The 18,432-nt window shown below is 35.3% G+C and overlaps 1 long non-coding RNA gene and 1 other non-coding gene across 2 annotated transcripts in view; both read left to right on the forward strand.

Annotated features, from left to right (window-relative positions):
* Window positions 1-18,432, forward strand: part of SNHG14 (small nucleolar RNA host gene 14) — a 595,855-nt gene that overhangs the window by 448,373 nt on the left and 129,050 nt on the right. Inside the window, exons 145-146 of the long non-coding RNA NR_146177.1 lie at window positions 5,387-5,429; window positions 6,867-6,904. This is a non-coding gene — a long non-coding RNA (small nucleolar RNA host gene 14). The remainder of the gene's footprint in view (window positions 1-5,386; window positions 5,430-6,866; window positions 6,905-18,432) is intronic.
* SNORD109B (small nucleolar RNA, C/D box 109B) lies at window positions 6,363-6,429 on the forward strand. Its single transcript, NR_001289.1, has one exon. It is a non-coding gene; the product is annotated as a small nucleolar RNA, C/D box 109B (small nucleolar RNA).

An 18,432-nucleotide genomic window follows, 5' to 3' on the forward strand; every position in this document is an offset into this window, starting at 1 on the left:
AATAGAAAAATTAGCTGGGCATGGTTGCTCACGCTTGTAGTCTCAGCTACTCAGGAGGCTGAGGCACAAGAATCACTTGAACCCAGGAGGCAGAGGCTGCAGTGAGCTGAGATCACACCATTGCACTCCAGCATGGGTGACAAGTGAGATTCTGTCTCAAAAAAAAAAAAGTGAAGGTATGATGACAATGTCACACAAAATAGTGAATACCAATAAAAAGATAGAAATTATTAAAAAGAACCAAATGAAAATTCTGGAGTTGAAAAGTACAATAACTAAAATTTAAAAATTTATTAGAAAGGCTCAATAGTAGATTTGAACTGGGAGAAGAAACAAGAAGTAAACTTGAAGATAGAACAATAGAGATTATGTTCAAAAGAACAGAAAGCATAAAGAATAAAGAAACAAAGAGAGTCTCAGAGAATGTGGAACATCATTAAGCATACCAGCATACACATATGGGAGTACCAGACAGGCAGGGGAGATACAAAGGATCAGAAAAAAATATTTGAAGGAATAATGGCTGAAACCTCCCATATTTGTGGAAAACAATAACTGACATATCCAGGAAGCTCAATGAATTCCAATGAATAAATGCAAAGATTGACAAATGGAAACATCACAGTAAGATATCTGAAAGTCAAAAACAAGAAGAAAGTCTTGAAAGCAGTGTGAGAAAAATGATTTGTTACTTACAAGGGAACCCCAGGAAGATTAACAGCTGACTTCAGCAGAAGCAATGGAGGCCAGAAGCAAAGGCATAACATATTAAAAATGCTCAAAGAAAAAAGAACCTGTCACCTAAGAATTCTGTACCTGGCAAAGCTGTCTTTCAAAAATGAAGGCAAAATAAAGACTTCCTCAATTAAAAAAAAAAAAGTTGGAGAATCTACTGCTCTCAAAACCCCCTTAAAAGAGTTCTCTAAATACTTAAAGAAGTTATTCAAGCTGAAAGCAAGTGAGCCTAGGTAGTTATTCAAATCAACAACTACAAAGCAAATGCTTGTAAAGGTAATTATATAAATATAAAAGACAGTAGAAATGTAATTTTTCTCTGAAGTGATTTTAAAATAAATTCTATAAAATAATATGTATATAATGTATTTTGGGGTCTATAACATATAAAAGTGTAATATATTTGCCAAAGAAGATAGGTGGATGCAAAGCAATACAAGACTAAGGAAATGACTACAGATGGTAGATTAATATTTATTATAATGTCTTTCTTGGCTTATAGCATCAATAAATGTAATATGTATAATAATACCACAAAAGATGGCAAAAAGGGAATAGAGCTATATAGGTGTAACATTTCTGTATAAGACTGAAATTAAGCTAGTGTAAATTAGAAACTTATTTGGGTGAGTTAAGATATATGCAGTAAACCCTAGAGCAACCACTGAAAAAATTCAAAACATATAGTGAAAAAAATTATTAAGGAAGTTTAAATGCTACATTATAAAATAATTACTTAATGAAAAAGAAGTAAAGAGGAATAGAGGAACAAAAACACATGAGACACAGAGGAGAAGAAGAATGACATAATAAACTCAACTAAATAATAAAATTACATGTGAATACAGTAAATATGTAAATTAAAAGGCAGAGATTCCCAGGCTGGATAAAATCTCCAGGTTTAATATCCCTTTGCCCCAAATAAACTCCAGCTTTTTTTCCTATGATGTATTTGATCATTGTGCTGGTTTACAAAAGATTTCTAACCTTTCTAAAATCTTTAAAATCAGCGGCGAAGTGTTCTATCTCATTTCACCCATATATATCAGAGACTCAAATCCTGAAAAATACCAAGTTGACCTGCCCATTCTTGAGTTCTGCTGAATGGTGTGTTCCCAGATCACTATGGATATTGCTGTTTACTTGACCAATTACTTTTAGTCAACAAGATTTGAACAATGCTTTTGATTCACACAGCGTGAGACCTAGACTTCCCTCATATTGAAATAGGAGCATTAGCATCCTGGATTCCTGCACCGGCTTTTGAACCTTATGTTTCCTGCACCCCAAGAAGCCATGTTATCTGGACATTGTCCTCTCTGTGATGGGAAAGAAGAGTTTTTTCAACAAATGTTGCTAGGACAACTGGATATCTAGATACAAAAGATACTGCATTTATGTTACCAGTTTTCTGTGTCAGTCCATTTTGCTCTGATGTAACAGAATACTGCAGACTGGGTATTTGTAATGAGTGGAAACTTATTGGCTCACATTTCTGGAGGCTGGAAAGATCAAGGGGCTGGCATATGATAAGGGCCTTCTCACTCTGTCATCCTATGGTAGAAGGGCAAAGAGAGGGTATGGATGGGACAAATATCTTCTTTTATAGGAACCCACCCCTGAAATAACAGCATTAATCCATTGATGAGGGCAGAGCTCTCACAGCCTAATCACCTTTTTTTTTTTTTTTTGAGACGGAGTCTCGCTCTTTCGCCCAGGCGAGAGTGCAGTGGTGCTATCTCGGCTCACTGCAGGCTCCGCCTCCCGGGTTCACGCCATTCTCCTGCCTCAGCCTCCCGAGTAGCTGGGACTATAGGCGCCCGCCACGGCGGCCGGCTAATTTTTTGTATTTTTAGTAGAGACGGGGTTTCACCGTGTTAGCCAGGATGGTCTCATTCTCCTGACCTCGCGATCCGCCCGCCTTGGCCTCCCAAAGCCCTGGGATCACAGGCGTGAGCCACCGCGCCCGGCCGCCTAATCACCTTTTAAATGTTGCTTTATTAAACACTGTTGCATTGAGGGTTACGTTTCCAAGACAGGCTTTTGAAGTGAAATGAAAAATTTGACCATTCCCAATTATAGTTTGAAATTTCAATGCTCCTTTCTTAGTATGTGATTGAACATGGATAAGATAATCAGTAACGGTGGATGTAAGAACACTATTAACCAACTTGACTCCACTGTCATATGTAGAACACAACACCCAACAATAGCAGAATGCACATTATATTCAAGTGCTCATAAAGCATTATTTTGTATATATGTATTTTCTCCCTTTTTTGATAAAGTTAGCTAGTAGAGTGCCTATGTAGTTAATATTTTTTAAAAACCACAGGCTTCTCAATTATTAATTACATCTATGGTTTTTAAAATATTATCTTCATTAATTTCTGCTTTGATCCTTATTCCTTTCTTTCTTGTACTTTCTTTTATTTTTGTTCTTTTTTAGTGTTTTAAGATGAAAATTGAATTGTTTCATTCATCTTTTTCATTTTTTAAAATAAAAACATTTAGTGCAATGAATTTTCCTCTAGAACTGCCTTTAAATGCATATTACAGATTCTCATATGTTGTATATTTTAAAATAATATGTAAATATATATTTGCATAGAAAAACATATTTACATACAAAATATGTATTTACATATTTAAACATATGTATTTTCTGTTTATATTTTTCCTTTTACTCAGGAGTTAATAGGATATTTTTAAAATTTCTTGGTGAAAGCGCCTTTATCTTATTGTTAGTAAAGTCTATGTTTTTGCATTGTGATCAGATAGTGCAGTTTTTAATATTTCTTGAGTTACTAATTTTTCTTTCCAACCTAATATATAATCAGTTTTTTGTGACTATGCCATGGGCACTTAAGAACAACACAGATCTTCTATTATCTGTCAAGTTTAATATGTAGCCATAAAATCTACCTTATTTTTATGTTGCTATTTTTGCCCACTTGATCTGTCTTTTTCTGATAATGGTGTATTATAGTTTTCTATTATGGGATCATCTATGTCTTGTCTCCTTACATCTCATACATCTCATGCAGTTTTTTATTCATAAAGGTGGTTATTATGTTATTTGGTATATAAGTCTCCATAAGGGTCAAATCTTCATGTGTATTATATCTTTTAGCATAAAAAAAGTGTCCTTCTTTGCCTTGATTAACATGGTGGGACTTGAATACATTGTGTGATATAAGAATTACTACGCTTGCATGCGATTGGCATGAAAAAAAAAAAGATTACTCCTATCTCTTTTTGTTTTCATGTGCCTGATATACTTTCGCCCATCCCTTTATTTTCAGTCTTTTAGAATCCATTTGTTTTAGATTCATCTCTCATAGAAAACATATTATGTTTTATTTTGTGAGCCCACTGAAAATATTTTTCTTCTAGTAGGTGTGTGGAGTCCACTCACGTGTGTGTGTGTGTGTGTGTGTGTGTGTGTGTAGCTATGACTGATATTTATTGTGTTTGTATTTTCTTTATATTTGCTACGCTCTTTTGTCACGGTGTAGTCTTTGCTTGCCTATTTATTCATACTTAGGAGAGTTTTTGTTTTTGTTGGAGTGTTTACTTTTGTACCTCTCTTAATTCTGTTAGTTCTGTGTTTTCCTAGTTAATCTTTTACTTCTGATTTATCAGTTTGGGGGATGTTCTTCAGCACTCCCCTATTCTCATGCAAAGTGCTTTCGGTTTTCCTCTTTTTTTTTTTTTCCTCCTCCTGTGTTTAGTTGTCTTATTTCTACTTTGTCACAATATTAGTGACATTTGTATGCTAGTCTTCTACCCTGGATAGGGAATATACACCTGTCAGATGGAAGGAATATCATGTTGTATGCTGCTGTCAAATAGATCCTAACATACTTTAATAATCTTTTAAATGATATAATCCAAGTTCATAGTTAACTCCTGACTTTTTATTTCTATCATATTCAGTAGATATATCAGCATTGACAGCCATCCCACTGCAATATCACTTCACATTTTGCTTAGACCAAAGGGTTCTGAGAAGCTTCTGGAGCTGTTGTGAAAGCCAGTTTCATTAAAGTCAAGTCAGACATCCACCTGTGCTGTTTTCTGCTATAAGCTGAATGCAGGGGATACAATGTTAGGAGCATCAGTGTGGTATGAGGAATGTTTACTTATTGGTAGTAGACTTGTCTGGATCAAGGATAAGTACAAGTATCTGAGATGCTGAGGTGTGGCTGAATGAATGGCCATCTGTTCTATTGCAACAGGATAAATAACACATTCGGAGCAGGCCTAACTGGTGAACTCCTCAATTATCTCACAATAGCACTATCACGTGTCTTTCATTTTTCACAGCACAGTGTATTTTCATAAAATCTTTATTGGTAGACCACAACTTTAGCATTTCCCATTCAAGATACAACTACTGTGTCACTTGGATAGCTTGGTAGAGAGGAAATTGGCTATTTTCAGAGTAAAGAATTCAAGGAGGAAACAGATTATAAATGAAATGACAAAGGTGATGAGATCAAGCAATGCTGACGTTTGTAGCAAGGAGTAGAGGGCTGAGATGCCTGTATGATAAGAAATTATAATGGAACCAATCTTGTGCTTTATTTTTTATTAATTTGGAGCATTCTCTGATCTGATTTATTTTCTATGTGATATTTTGCTGCAGGTTAAAAGCTGAAACAACTTCAAGGAAACTTCAGGGAAAAGAGGTGAGCAGCCACTTTGGTACTTTTGAAATTCTTTGTTCTGTGGGCAATGATGTCAGAATGTCAAAGACTGTGAGTTCATTATTTCAGAGGCTTAAAGGAGATTATTCTTTTGGTAGATATATTTCCCCATGGGTGTCCCTACCTTGTTCAAGGATTCCTTATTATTGTTTCTTCTCTTTGTTTAAATCTCTTTTTGAGATGACCTAAACAACTGTGGAGAATCATTGATATATTTCCTTTTTTCACTGTTCATGTTGGGTGAAAATAATCTTGTAGTGAAATTCACATGTTCTAAATATTGTTTTTTTACATCTTTATCTGGCACATTCATAACATAGATGTTTCTATACATATTAGTACTGTAATCATACCATATATTATTCTGTTACCCCACTTACTCCTTAAACTTTTAGTTAATTAAAGAGTTTTTATAAAGTCCCCCAATAGATTTTTTTTTTTTGAGACATAGTCTCACTCTGTTGCCCAGGCTGGAGTGCAGTGGCGTGATTTTGGCTCACTGCAACCTCCCCATCCTGGGTTCAAGCAATTCTCCTGCCTCAGCCTGCCAAGTAGCTGGGATTACAGGTGCCTGCCACCACGCCCGACTAATTTTTGTATTTTCAGTAGTGACAGGGTTTCACCATCTTGGCCAGGCTGGTCTTGAACTCCTGACCTCGTGATCCACCCGCCTTGGCCTCTCAGAGTGCTAGGATTACAGGCTTGAGCCACTGCACCCGGCCAGATTTTAATCTAATTTTATTAGAACAATTCAGTCATATGTTTTTTCATGCTATGTATATGAGAGTTCCATTATTCAGATACTAAACAAATGTCTACTGTACATTTACTGTTCTCACTGATGATGCATTAGATAACCATGCACAAAATAAGCCTGGCTGTGGAAACGCTTATTTGTTGGGAGGGTGCTTGTTTGGATCGATGATGAGAATAATTGTCTGAGGATGCTGAGGGACTCATTCCAGATGTCAATCTGAGGTCCAGATGTGCGGCCCTCCAATAGGACAAATAAGACTCTCAGAGCCTGGCTCTATTTGGGGATCCCTCAGTGACAACATAGTACCCCTGTGAGCGTGCCTTTTCTATCTCTTCGAAGAGGGCAGTGGCATCCTGTCTTATGAGTCAGTGTGCACTTTAGTGTGCCTAGTGACCCAAGACTTGCTTTAATTGTAGATAGATACTTACATATAGGAAATATTTCTTAAGTAACAAATGAAAAACTTTAGAAGATTGAATTAAGGGTCAAGCAACTGTGATATGTCTGAAAATCTCATTAGTGTTGTGCTGAAAGAAGGAAATATGGCATGCCTCTATTAAATAATGACAGTGGAACCAAGTTTATTGCTTTGTTATTTTTACTGTGGAGTATTTTCTAAGATTATTTTTGCTTTTTTTTTCTTTCATGTTTTGCTGAGATAGAAGGCCTGGAATCTGATCCTCCACTTCAGAGAACAGGGGTGAGTAGCTAAGCCATTATCTTTTGAAATTCATATGTCATGTGCTCTTTGCTAGGTCTTTAGGTCGTTTTGTACATCTTTTCAGAAGCTTATTGGAGGACATTTTCATGATATGTCCTTTTCCTCATTGAGACCCTCACCATGTCACCTACACTATTGAATCCTTATCATTTCTCTTTTAATTTTAACTCTCTTTTGCTTTTATGGAAAAATGTAGAATTTAAGAGAATTTTTGGCAATTTCATATTGGATCAAAATGTATTGTAGTGAAATCCAGGTGTGCCAAAATATTAACAGATTTTCCCCATCTGTTTAATTATTGGGGTTTCAGAATAGAGACTCCATGGTTCATAATATCTTTGTGGTCATACTACATTATATTTCTGCTTCTAATTTAATTATTAAATATTGACTTGAATTAGTCTTTTCCTCATTGTTGCAACAAGGTAAGTTATATAGGAAATTTTCTTCTCTTGATGGCATGTCTGAGATAATCATAGATATAAGACACCTGGCTGGTTTCTAGAATGCATGTAATTTTTATTTCTTGATCTGTGTGTTGAGTACTTGCTGTGATTGCATCATGCAAATACATTGAGCTTTACAATTTTAGTGTATGCACTTTTCTACATGTATATTATTCTTCGATAGAAAGTAAAAAAAACTTATCGAACTAGTCAAAATATTGGTTAATACATAAAAAAAGTCTCAAGTAGATTGTGTATTACATGGTGCTTGTTGATTGATGCCCTCATAATAGATCAAGTGGGTTCTCTCTTTAGCACAGGGCTTTTTAGCAAATCATGTCATGAGTAGTTACTCAAGTATTTTTATTTTAACACATTTATATTTTTTCTATGTATATTCTTAAATTCTCTTATACTTTTTTCTCTGTTATAAAAACATGCTGAACAATCTCAAGTCTTAAGGATTGCAGTATTGTCCCCACATATTCATGTATTTTGGTACTCAATTCTTTATACTTTCTTTGACAGATCACTTGAACTGGCACATGTCTCTTGTTTTGCAGAGAGGGAATTAATGTGATACCTTCATGCTTTTCTATTCTATGTGCTACATAATTGAATATACAAGCAAATATAGTTGTTAAGATTTAGTGTGATTATTTCTACACCACATGCAAAGAAGTTTCTCATAGATCTTAATAGAGGCCCACATGCATTGTACAGTTTAGAATTTGGGGAAATATTGATGAAGTTGGGTAAAGTATAAAGCCAAAAGTCAGAACAGTGAACTCCTTGCTTAAGGATTTCCTTGGAGATTACTTAGTCAATACACAACTGATAAATTTAAGTGCTTTTCACCTTTTGAGTTCTCGACATACTAAAGCTAAAATGTGTTTCAACTTTTAATCCTGCTTCCCTGATTTTCCCTTTTTTAGTCTGAGATCAAAGAGTTTCAGCCATAAATTACTGCCAAGAGTAATCACTTCATTTTAAGAAAGCTTAACAATATAGAAGAATATAAAATTATTTATGACAGATGTATTTTTAACCTTTTCCCCATGCTTTCCAGAGGAAATATGTTTAATCATCTGCCCTATATTAGGGAAAAACTTTCTATGCTAATACAAGTATCTATCAATCCATTTATCTTTCTATATAAGATGTATTGATCATAACCAATTAACTTTACTGTAAATGAGCTTTAGATTTGACATTTTGGTAGTAATATATGTTGTACAATCTCCTGAGGTCCTATAGGTCTTGAGGTCTCTATGTCAAAAACTATAGATGTGCCAGTGTCCTCAGTGAATGTGAAGGACACCACATTTTCCTTAGCCATTTCTTGTTTTCAGAATAATGGTTATCAACATTTTGCTACTGCAAGATACCATACATTTATAATCGGAATATGCCAGTTTTTATGCACTCATGCCTCTGTTTCTGTAGAGCATTCCCAGAATGAGTAATGCTTGAAAATTAGGTCCATGTGATTTCTTTAATGAGTTATAGTCAAATCATGAAATATTCAGGTTACCATTATTTCAGTAATGTATTAGAATGTCAAGGTAAAGTTATCTACATTGTATATATACACACAACATAGATATAATTTATACAACATCTATATTTATACAACAGATATATATTTATGTATATATTTATACAACATAAAATATATTTTATTATTTAAACATAAAATATATTTTATTATTTAATATAGATTCTTAAGTGATAAATATGTTTAATATTATTAAAATAGGTTAAAATAGGTTATAGTTAGTACAGTGAAAATTGGCAGCCCTTTTACAAAACATATGCCATAACTATAGCATTTATCACTGACAGTCATACCAGGATAGTCTTTTATTTCCAATCACTTAAATATTCCTAATTGCAAAAGAAATTTGAAGACTAAAATTCAGAAGTTTTGAAAGAGCCATTGCCTGGGTAAACTATACAGGTTTCAGTTTTATTTATAATAATTATGAGGCCAGGCGCAGTGGCTCACACCTGTAATCCCAACACTTTGGGAGGCCGAGGCGGGTGGATCACGAGGTCAGGAGATCGAGACCATCCTGGCTAACACGGTGAAACCCCATCTCTACTAAAAATACAAAAAATTAGCCGGGCGTGGTGGCGGGCGCCTGTAGTCCCAGCTACTCGGGAGGCTGAGGCAGGAGAATGGCGTGAACCTGGTAGGCGGAGCTTGCAGTGAGCCGAGATCGCGCCACTGCCCTCCAGCCTGGGAGACAGTGCGAGACTCCGTCTCAAAAAAAAAAATTATGTATATATTTATAAATTAATACTTAATAAATTAATAACTTGTGATAGGCAATGCAAAGATGACAGTAAAAGGACAAAATTGATTAGATTGATAAAGTCCTGTTAACATGAAGAAATTGACCAGGATACCATCCACACTATAAAGTTAGAGAAATTTATCAGGACAATTCCCTAAAATACTCTTCTCAATTTTAACATTGTAACAGGAATTTTTAAAATTTTGGTATTATGTGTGTTTCCTTCCAGATAATTTGAACAGATTCATATTTGGTATTTTTAAAAGCCATATCTTTGTCCTTAGTGCTGGCAATGTATTCTTGAGAATGAACAAATAAGAGATACGTAAAAGCATAAGAGAAGGTATCAGGTTGAAGTAGTCAATCAGTTATACAGAACACAAAGAATTTTATCTTGTATAATGTTTATATAGCTTTATAGAAGTGTGCTGAAAGGGCTATAAAACATGGACATTATTATCTCATTGAAAGGTCCAATACGTACTGAAATACATGCTTTTATTTTGAACCAACCACCCTATAAACGTTGTATGGCTTATTTAGATGAGAGCCCAGGTTGTGTGTGTCTGTGTGTGTGTGTGTGTGTGTGTGTGTGTGTGTGTGTGTGTGTGTACCTGACAGGGAAGCAAGAACATCGAGTTGCCAATGCACTCTGTCTATGGTTAGAATCATGCTGAAAACATGGCTCCCCCAGTTCTGGAATGAGCCCACAGATCAAGCATTCCCCAAAGACATAGCAGGCTCAAATCCCTGTGTACACAATATTTTATGATTATCTTATGTCAGTACTTTCAAAGTATACAGTTTGTGTGAAGACAAATCCAATGTCATTTTTCTTGGCTAGCCTATATGTGTGGTAAATCCATTATTTACTTACTTGCTTCCTGAAAATTACAATTAGATTAACAAACTGCAGCAAAGTGGGCATGATGAGATAGAGATTGAAGTGTAAGCTTATGTTAATGATGCCCTTGGTTTGGATAAACACATCTAAGAGAAAAATGGAAAAACACACATGGCAGGGAAGCCTTGATAGAGCCAAAATATAGGATTGTATGTAGTAATGCAATCCATAGATGAGCATTTGGCAGTAATATTATTTTTCAGATATGGATAAAAATTGCTTAGGAGAGTAAAGAGAGACAAAGTTGAAAGCAGGTTTATAGTAGGTGTTGTTTTAGTGTTGATCCCTTTTTGCTCCAATAATCAAAGTGATAAATATTGAAAATTGATTCATGCAGCATTACTTACTCCATTCTAATTTTTATATATGTCAAAAGTGCCATCTCCCAAACTGTGCTATCCCCTTCAGGAGAAGAGACTCTGCTGAAGTTTATAAGGTTGACATATTGCCAGCTTCAATAATGTAAAGATGAAGTGTATACTGAATTCTTAATGCAAATAACAACTCTATTGGAAAGTAACCCAGTTATAGAAGTGCTAATTTGTCAGGAGCTGCCTTACCAAGATCATGATGAGTACAGTTATCTCAGGATTCTGAAAGATTGTTTTCCGATTTCAACTAGTCTAGCTGAATGTTCCTTGATAGAAAGAGAGGACTTTTAGAATTGGTTCAATATGATGACCTCCTGAATTATCTCACATAGCCCGTTTGTACATGCCTTTCTTTTCTCTCAGAAAATGGCACTATCATAATAGCTTTCTTACACAGACTTCACCTTAGGGTTTTACATTAAGGGAGGGGTCTGGTGTTTCATTTATTTTGAAGTATTTGTTGTTGATTGTGTACAGTGCTTGAGTAAAAAATTGAATATAGAAACATCTAGAATATTTTTTTAAAGGATCAGTGTTTATAAAGTGAATTATTAGTGTCAATAATGTTGGGAAAGTTTTAAGAGAATATAGGAAACTTGAACATTACACAACTACAATGGGACCAAATTGTGGGGTCTCATTATAGTTAATATTTATGTATTTTTTTCCAATTGATTTGTGTGCTTTTTTTCTGCATGTTTTTGGCAGATAGAATGGCTATAACAAGTAACAGCATGTCAGGTAATAAAAATAAGCAGAGCCCTATTCCTTTAAAAATCTTCACTGATGGGAGGGCCATAAAATAAGTCTTAATACATTTAAAGAATTAAATTCATGTAAACCATGTTAATTTAATTCCACAATGATATTGAATTAGAAATAAGAGGAATATCTCTTGAACATCTCCTAAATGTTTGGAAATTTAAATTAGCATTTCTGACCTATTTATTGGTTAAAAAAGATACAAAGAAAGGAAAATTGAAAAGTCTTTTGAACTGAATAAAAATAAAAATATAGAATCTAAAACTTTATGGGATACTGACAAAACAGGATATAGGGAATAATTTATAGCACTGAAATGCCTATATTAGAAAAGAAAAAAGGTTTTAAATCAGTAAATTTGTATTTTACCTTAAGAAACTTAGAAAAGAACAAATTAACCCAGACTTAAGTAAAATAAAGGCACTAATAAAGATAAGAGCAGAAATCAATGAAATATAAAACAACAAAACACAGAGAAAAATTGAGAAAATTTAAAAATAGCCTAGTGAGAAGATATTGATAAACTTGTAACCAGACCAATTTAAGAAAAAAAGTCAAAACACAAATACCAATATTTGAAAATGTAGGAGGGCAAATCATTACAGATTCTATGAATACTAAAATGATAATAAGGAAAAATTATTTAAAAGGGGCATGTCAGCCAGGCATGGTGGCTTACCCCTGTAATCCCAGCACTTTGGCAGGCCGAGGTGGGAGGATTGCTAGAGCTCAGGCATTCGAGACCAGCCTGGGCAACATGTTGAAACCTTGTCTACACAAAAAGTACAAAAATTAGCTGGGTGTGGTGTTGCACACTTGTAGTCCCAGTCACTTGGGAGGCTGAGGCGAGAGGATCACTTGAGCCCAGGAGGTTGAGGCTGCAGTGAGCCATGTTTGTACCACTGCCCTCCAGCCTGGGTGACAAAGTAAGACCCTATGTAAAAAAAAAAAAATGTATGCCAACATTTTTCAATAACTTAAATGAAATGGAAAAATTCCTTGAAAGACACGAACTACAAAAACTCAGTGAACAAGTAAATAACCTGAATAGCCCTGTATCAAGTAAATTGAATTTGTAGTTAAAAGCCTTCCAACAGAGAAAACTTCAGGTACCTATAGCTTCATATGAAATGAAAAAAAAAATACCAATCCTCTACAAGATTCCAGAACATTTAAAAGAAGGGAATATTTCCCAACTTATTCCATTTGGACAGCAATACCCAGGTAAGAAAAAGAGACACAGAAATTTAAAAAGAAGAATATACATTATTCCTTAGGAACATAAATGCAAAGAAATCTAATCAAAATTTTGGCAAATGAAATGTAGAAATACTTTATGACCAAGTGAGAGTTACCCAAAGAATTTAAGGTTGGTTTTATATGTAAAGATCAACCAATATAGGAAAATCACTTCTGGAAAGTCAGAGTAAGAAACTCCAAAAATCTACTCCTCCATAAAACCAATAACAGCCTTGATAGAAATAGTTGAAATTAATTTTCCAAAACTTTGGAAATTAACCAAAGGCTTACAAAATTCCAGAGAACATTAATTCAAGAAAAATGGCTGAATCAGTAAGAACAGCCAGCTTTGTGGCATTTTAATATGACCCCTTCCCATGCTTTTCTCCCTAGTGCTGAGATAGTCTTAAAAATTAGCAGGATAGCAACCACTGGAGAAGAAAGGTTTGGAAATTTCCCAAAAAGTTCCATCCCCATAGAATTATCACTATTTGACCTCTAAAGCCCAATCTATAGGATTTATATTCATTTGGACTGACTCAGAGCTCACTCAGTAAGGAAATCTCAATTTCAAGGTATTGGTCAAAAAGAATCCATGGCAATTGTTGACTATCACAACTGCCTGAAGTCTTGGTAACAGTTGGGATAAACAAGAAGCTGATCAAAAACTGAAAACTAAAATCTTGGGAATGAGATATCTACAGGATGCTTCAAAAAGCTTTGATACATTCCTGTTTATCTAGAAAGCTACATGCAGGCTGGGTGCAGTGGCTCACACCTGTAATCCCAGCACTTTGGGAGGCCGAGGCGTGCGGATCATGAGGTCAGGAGTTTGAGGCCAGCCTGACCAACATGGTCTCTACTAAAAACACAAAAATTAGCCAGGCGTGGTGGCGTGCATCTGTAATCCTAGCTACTCAGGAGGCTGAGACAGGAGAATCGCTTGAACCCGGGAGGCGGAGGTTGCAGTGAGCCAAGATTGTGCCACTGCACTCCAGCCTGGGCGACAGAGCAAGGCTCTGTCTCAAAAAAAAAAAAAAAAAAAGCCACATGCATGTAATTGTTTACCTCTGGCTTTCCTTTTATGCTCTGGGCAAGCTAAGGAAGAGTTGTGAACTACCTAAGTGCTGAATGGGAACCATAACACACACACACACACACACACACACACACACAGCACCTTAGTAAAGGGTGAGAGGCATGTTAGTTAGAAGCATTAAAGGAAATCTCTTTCTAGTCATTATCTGTGCACTAACCTAACTGAGCAGAGACTTCAGTATCCACATACTACAGGGCATATAAACTTTACAGAATTAGTCCAGGAAAATCATATCTAAAAAAAAAAAAAAGCAGTAACAAAAATAAACTCTGGGAAAGGGGAGAATATGATTTAAAGAGTTGCCACATTATACATAATATGTCTAGTGTTCAACAAAAAATTACGAGACATGCAAAGAAATAGAAAAATATGGCACAAAGAGGATAAGATGAAGTCAGTGAAACTATCCTCGAGGAAGACCAGATGTTGGTCTTACTAGACACAGACATTGAACCAGCTATTAAAAATACGTACACAGAACTAAGAAAAACATGTCAAAAGGGTTAAAGAAAGGTATAAAAATAGTGTCTTACCAAATATAGACTACCAATAAAGAGATAGAAATTATAAGAAAAGACAACATGAAAAAATATAAAGCAAAAAAATTAGACAATTGAAACAAGAGGGCCTCTATTCGCAGATTTGAGCAGGCAGAAGAAAGAATCAGTGAACTTGAAGATATGTCAACTGAGATTATCCAGTCTGAGCAACAAAGGTGGGAAAAAATGAAGAAAACTGAGCAACAAAGAACTGTAGAACAGCATCTCTCATACCAATGGATACATAAACTGGAGCCCTAGAAGGATGAAAAAAGGAGAAGGAAAGAAAACTTCCCAAATTTTAAGAAAAACATTAATTTATATACCCGAGATGACCAATAAAATCCAATTAAGATAATCTCAAAGAGACCAACACCTATACACATCATAGTCAGCGTGTCAAAAGACAAACATAAGGAGAGAATTCTTGAAGATAGTAAGAAAAAAATTATTCATAACATACACACCATCCTCAATAAGTCTGACAATTGACTTCTCACTGTAAACCATGCAGGCTAAAAAGGCAATGTACATAACCAAAGTGATGAAATAAAAACCTTCAACCAATCATTCTAGATCCAACAAAACTATTGTTCAAAAAGAAGAAATGAAGACATTCCTAAACAAAATCTCAGAGAAATGTTCTCTATAAGACTTGTCCTAATAGAAATGCTAAAGGAACTCCTTCGGTCTGAAATAGAAAGGCACTGGAGAGTAAATCAAATCCACGAGAAGAAATAAAGAGAACCAGTATAAGTAACTACATGTGTAAGTTTAAAACAAAGTATAAATTTATTTTGTTTGTAACATTTGTCTTTTCCTATTTGATTTAAAATATAATCTCAATTATAAACTTGTGTTGATGGTATTATATAAAGATGTAATTTTGGGTTATAGCACCAAAATGGCAGAATAGGAATTTTCTGTAGGTGTTTCCCACATAAGTATCAATTTTGACAACCATCCATGGGCAAGAGTACCTTGTGGGAGTTCAGGAGTTGACAGTAAAACTTCAGCACACCAGAGGAGTAAAGAAATCTAAGAATAGATTCATTGGAAAGGGTATAAACAGTTTCACTTTACCTGCATCACCAACCCCCAAAAGTGGCACAGCTCAGTAACAAGAGCCCATTATTTCTTCCACAGAGGAAAAGGAGAGTATAATAAGTAAGTGTCCAGTTTCTCAAGACATACAGGCCCCTGCCCAAGAGATCCACTTTATTTTCATCTCACCCAGAATATTGAGGTGATCAGCAAGGTGGAGTGGTTGGGAGAGGGTAAAAGCAGGAAAGAGAGATGGGGACTCAAACAGCAGCCCATACTTGGAACTGCCATAGATCCTACCAGTTACTTCATGGACTCCATCAGGAACCCACCTATAAGCCACAGGGGATGCATCCCTCCCATCTTGCCAACAAAACCCCGAATGCTCCAAATGCCTCACCCACTCTTTGGCTGGCTCCCAAGTGCGCTCCTGTGAAAAGCGAGTGAGTATCTCTGCAGATGGCTTGCAAGCACATGTTGACAGCTGGCTCCACTCTGTAGAACTGGAAAAAAGCTCACATACATGAGAATTTCAGGACACTACCCTAAAAAAAAAAATGAGACTTCAGCACCTGGCCTGGCTTTATGCAACCTAGAGAAGGTGATATGATTTGGCTCTGTGTCCCCACGTAAATCTCATGTCAAATTGTAATCCCCACGTGTTGGACAAGGGACTTGGTGGGAGGTGATTGAATCATGCGGGTGGACTTCCCTCTTGCTGTTCTTGTGATAGAGTTGTTATGAGATCCAGTTATTTGAAAGTATGTAGCATGTCCCCCTTCACTCTCTTGCACTCCTGCTCCACCTTGGTAAGACTTGCTTGCTACCCCTTTGCCTTCTGCCATGATTGTAAGTTTCCTGAGGCCTCCCAGCTATGCTTCCTGTATGGCCTGCAGAACTGAACTGTGAGCCAATTAAACCTCTTTTCTTCATAAATTATCCAGTCTTAGGTAGTTCTTTATAGCAGTGTGAGAATGGACTAATGCAGAAGGCATACAACCTTTAGAATTTGCCCCCTTGAGGGAACAAGATGTGTGAAGCAGGTTCATCCATAGAAAATGTCTGAGAGAACCTCAAAATCCCTAACCTGACTAACTGATGAAAGTGTTTCTCTCCTAAGGCCAGTCAGTAAAGACCAGAGGGGGTGACTGTTTCTTTAAATGCAAAGGCAGCAGCACAATAATTCAAGAAACATGAAAAATCAAGAAAACATGACACCACCAGAAGAACACAATCATTTTCCAATAACCAACTCCCCAAAAATGGAGATTTACAAATTGGTTTATAATGAATTCAGAACAATTATGTTAAGGAAGCTCAGCAAACTAAAAGGAACACCAATAGACTACTCTGTGAAGTCAGGCAAACAATTCATGAACAAAACTAGAAATTCAAAAAAGAGAAAAATTATCTTAAAAGAAAACCCAGAAGTTATGGAGCTAAAGAATACAATGCATGAAATGAAGGAGCGTATCAACAGCAAAGTTGATCAAGCATAAGAAAAAAAAAATCTGTGAAACTGAAGACTGGCTATTTGAAATTATTCATCAGAGGATTAAAAAAAAAAGAATGAAAAGAAATAAAGAAAGCCTACAGGATGTATAAAACACCATCAAGAGAACTAATATAAGGATTATTGGAGTCATAAAGGAGAAGAGAGAAAAGGGTAGAAAACTTATTTAAGAAATAATGGCTGAAAACTCTCCAAATCTAGGAAAAGATATGAGCATCCAGGTATATGAAGCTCAAAGATCCCCGTACAGGATACATTCCAAAAAGACTTCACCAAAACACATGATAATCAAACTGTCAAAAGCAAAATCAAGACGATGAATAAACCACCAATCACTAAGAGGGAGACAGGATTCTTATGTTGTCATTATTATTTACATATAATTTCAGTAAATGTTATTGGAAAATTTATAATGTTTTAAAAAAAGAAATTTGAAAGCACCGAAAGAAAAGAGACTCATCACATACAGGGAACCCTTTTAAGGCATTCAAGAGATTTCTCAGTAGAAACCTTACAAAATAGGAGAGAGTGGGATGAACTATACAAGTGCTGCAAGGAAAAAAATGCCAACCAACGCTTTACCTGGCAAATCTGTTCCTCAGAAATGAAGGAGAGAGAAGAACTTTCCTAGACAAACAAAAGCTGAGGCAGTTCATCACCACTAGACCTGCCTTACAAGACATACTAAGGGGAGTTCTTCAAGCTGAAATGATATGGCAATAGTTAGTAATATGAAATGATAAACCTCACTGGTAAAGGAAAGTACATAGTCAAATTTAGAACACTTTGATACTATAATGATGGTGTATAAATAATTTTACTGTGCTATGAAGGTTAAAAGACAAAAGTATTAAAAAAAACCCATAGCTGCAATAGCTTGTCAATGCATACTACAGTATAAAAAGATGTAAATTAGAACATTAAAAACATAGCATGCAAGGGTAGGGAAGTAAAAGTGTAGTTTTCATATGTAATCAAATTTAATTTGTTATCAGCTTAAAATAAATTGTTATACCTATGTTTTATGTAAGTGTCATGGTAACTATAAAGGAAAAACCTCTAGTAGATACACAAAAGAAAAAGAGAAAGGAATCAAAACATAACACTACAGAAAATTATCAAATTACAAAGGAAGACAGCAAGGGAGGAACAAAGTAAAAAGAGCAAGAAAAAATTTAACATAATGAAAACAGTAAGTCCTTACGTGTCAATAATTACTTTAAATGTAAATGGATTAAATTATCCAAACAAAAAAACAGACTGGACAAATGGATTTTAGAAACAACAACA

This window comes from Homo sapiens, chromosome 15, assembly GCF_000001405.40.
Source record: "Homo sapiens chromosome 15, GRCh38.p14 Primary Assembly".
Taxonomy (NCBI): Eukaryota; Metazoa; Chordata; class Mammalia; order Primates; family Hominidae; genus Homo; species Homo sapiens.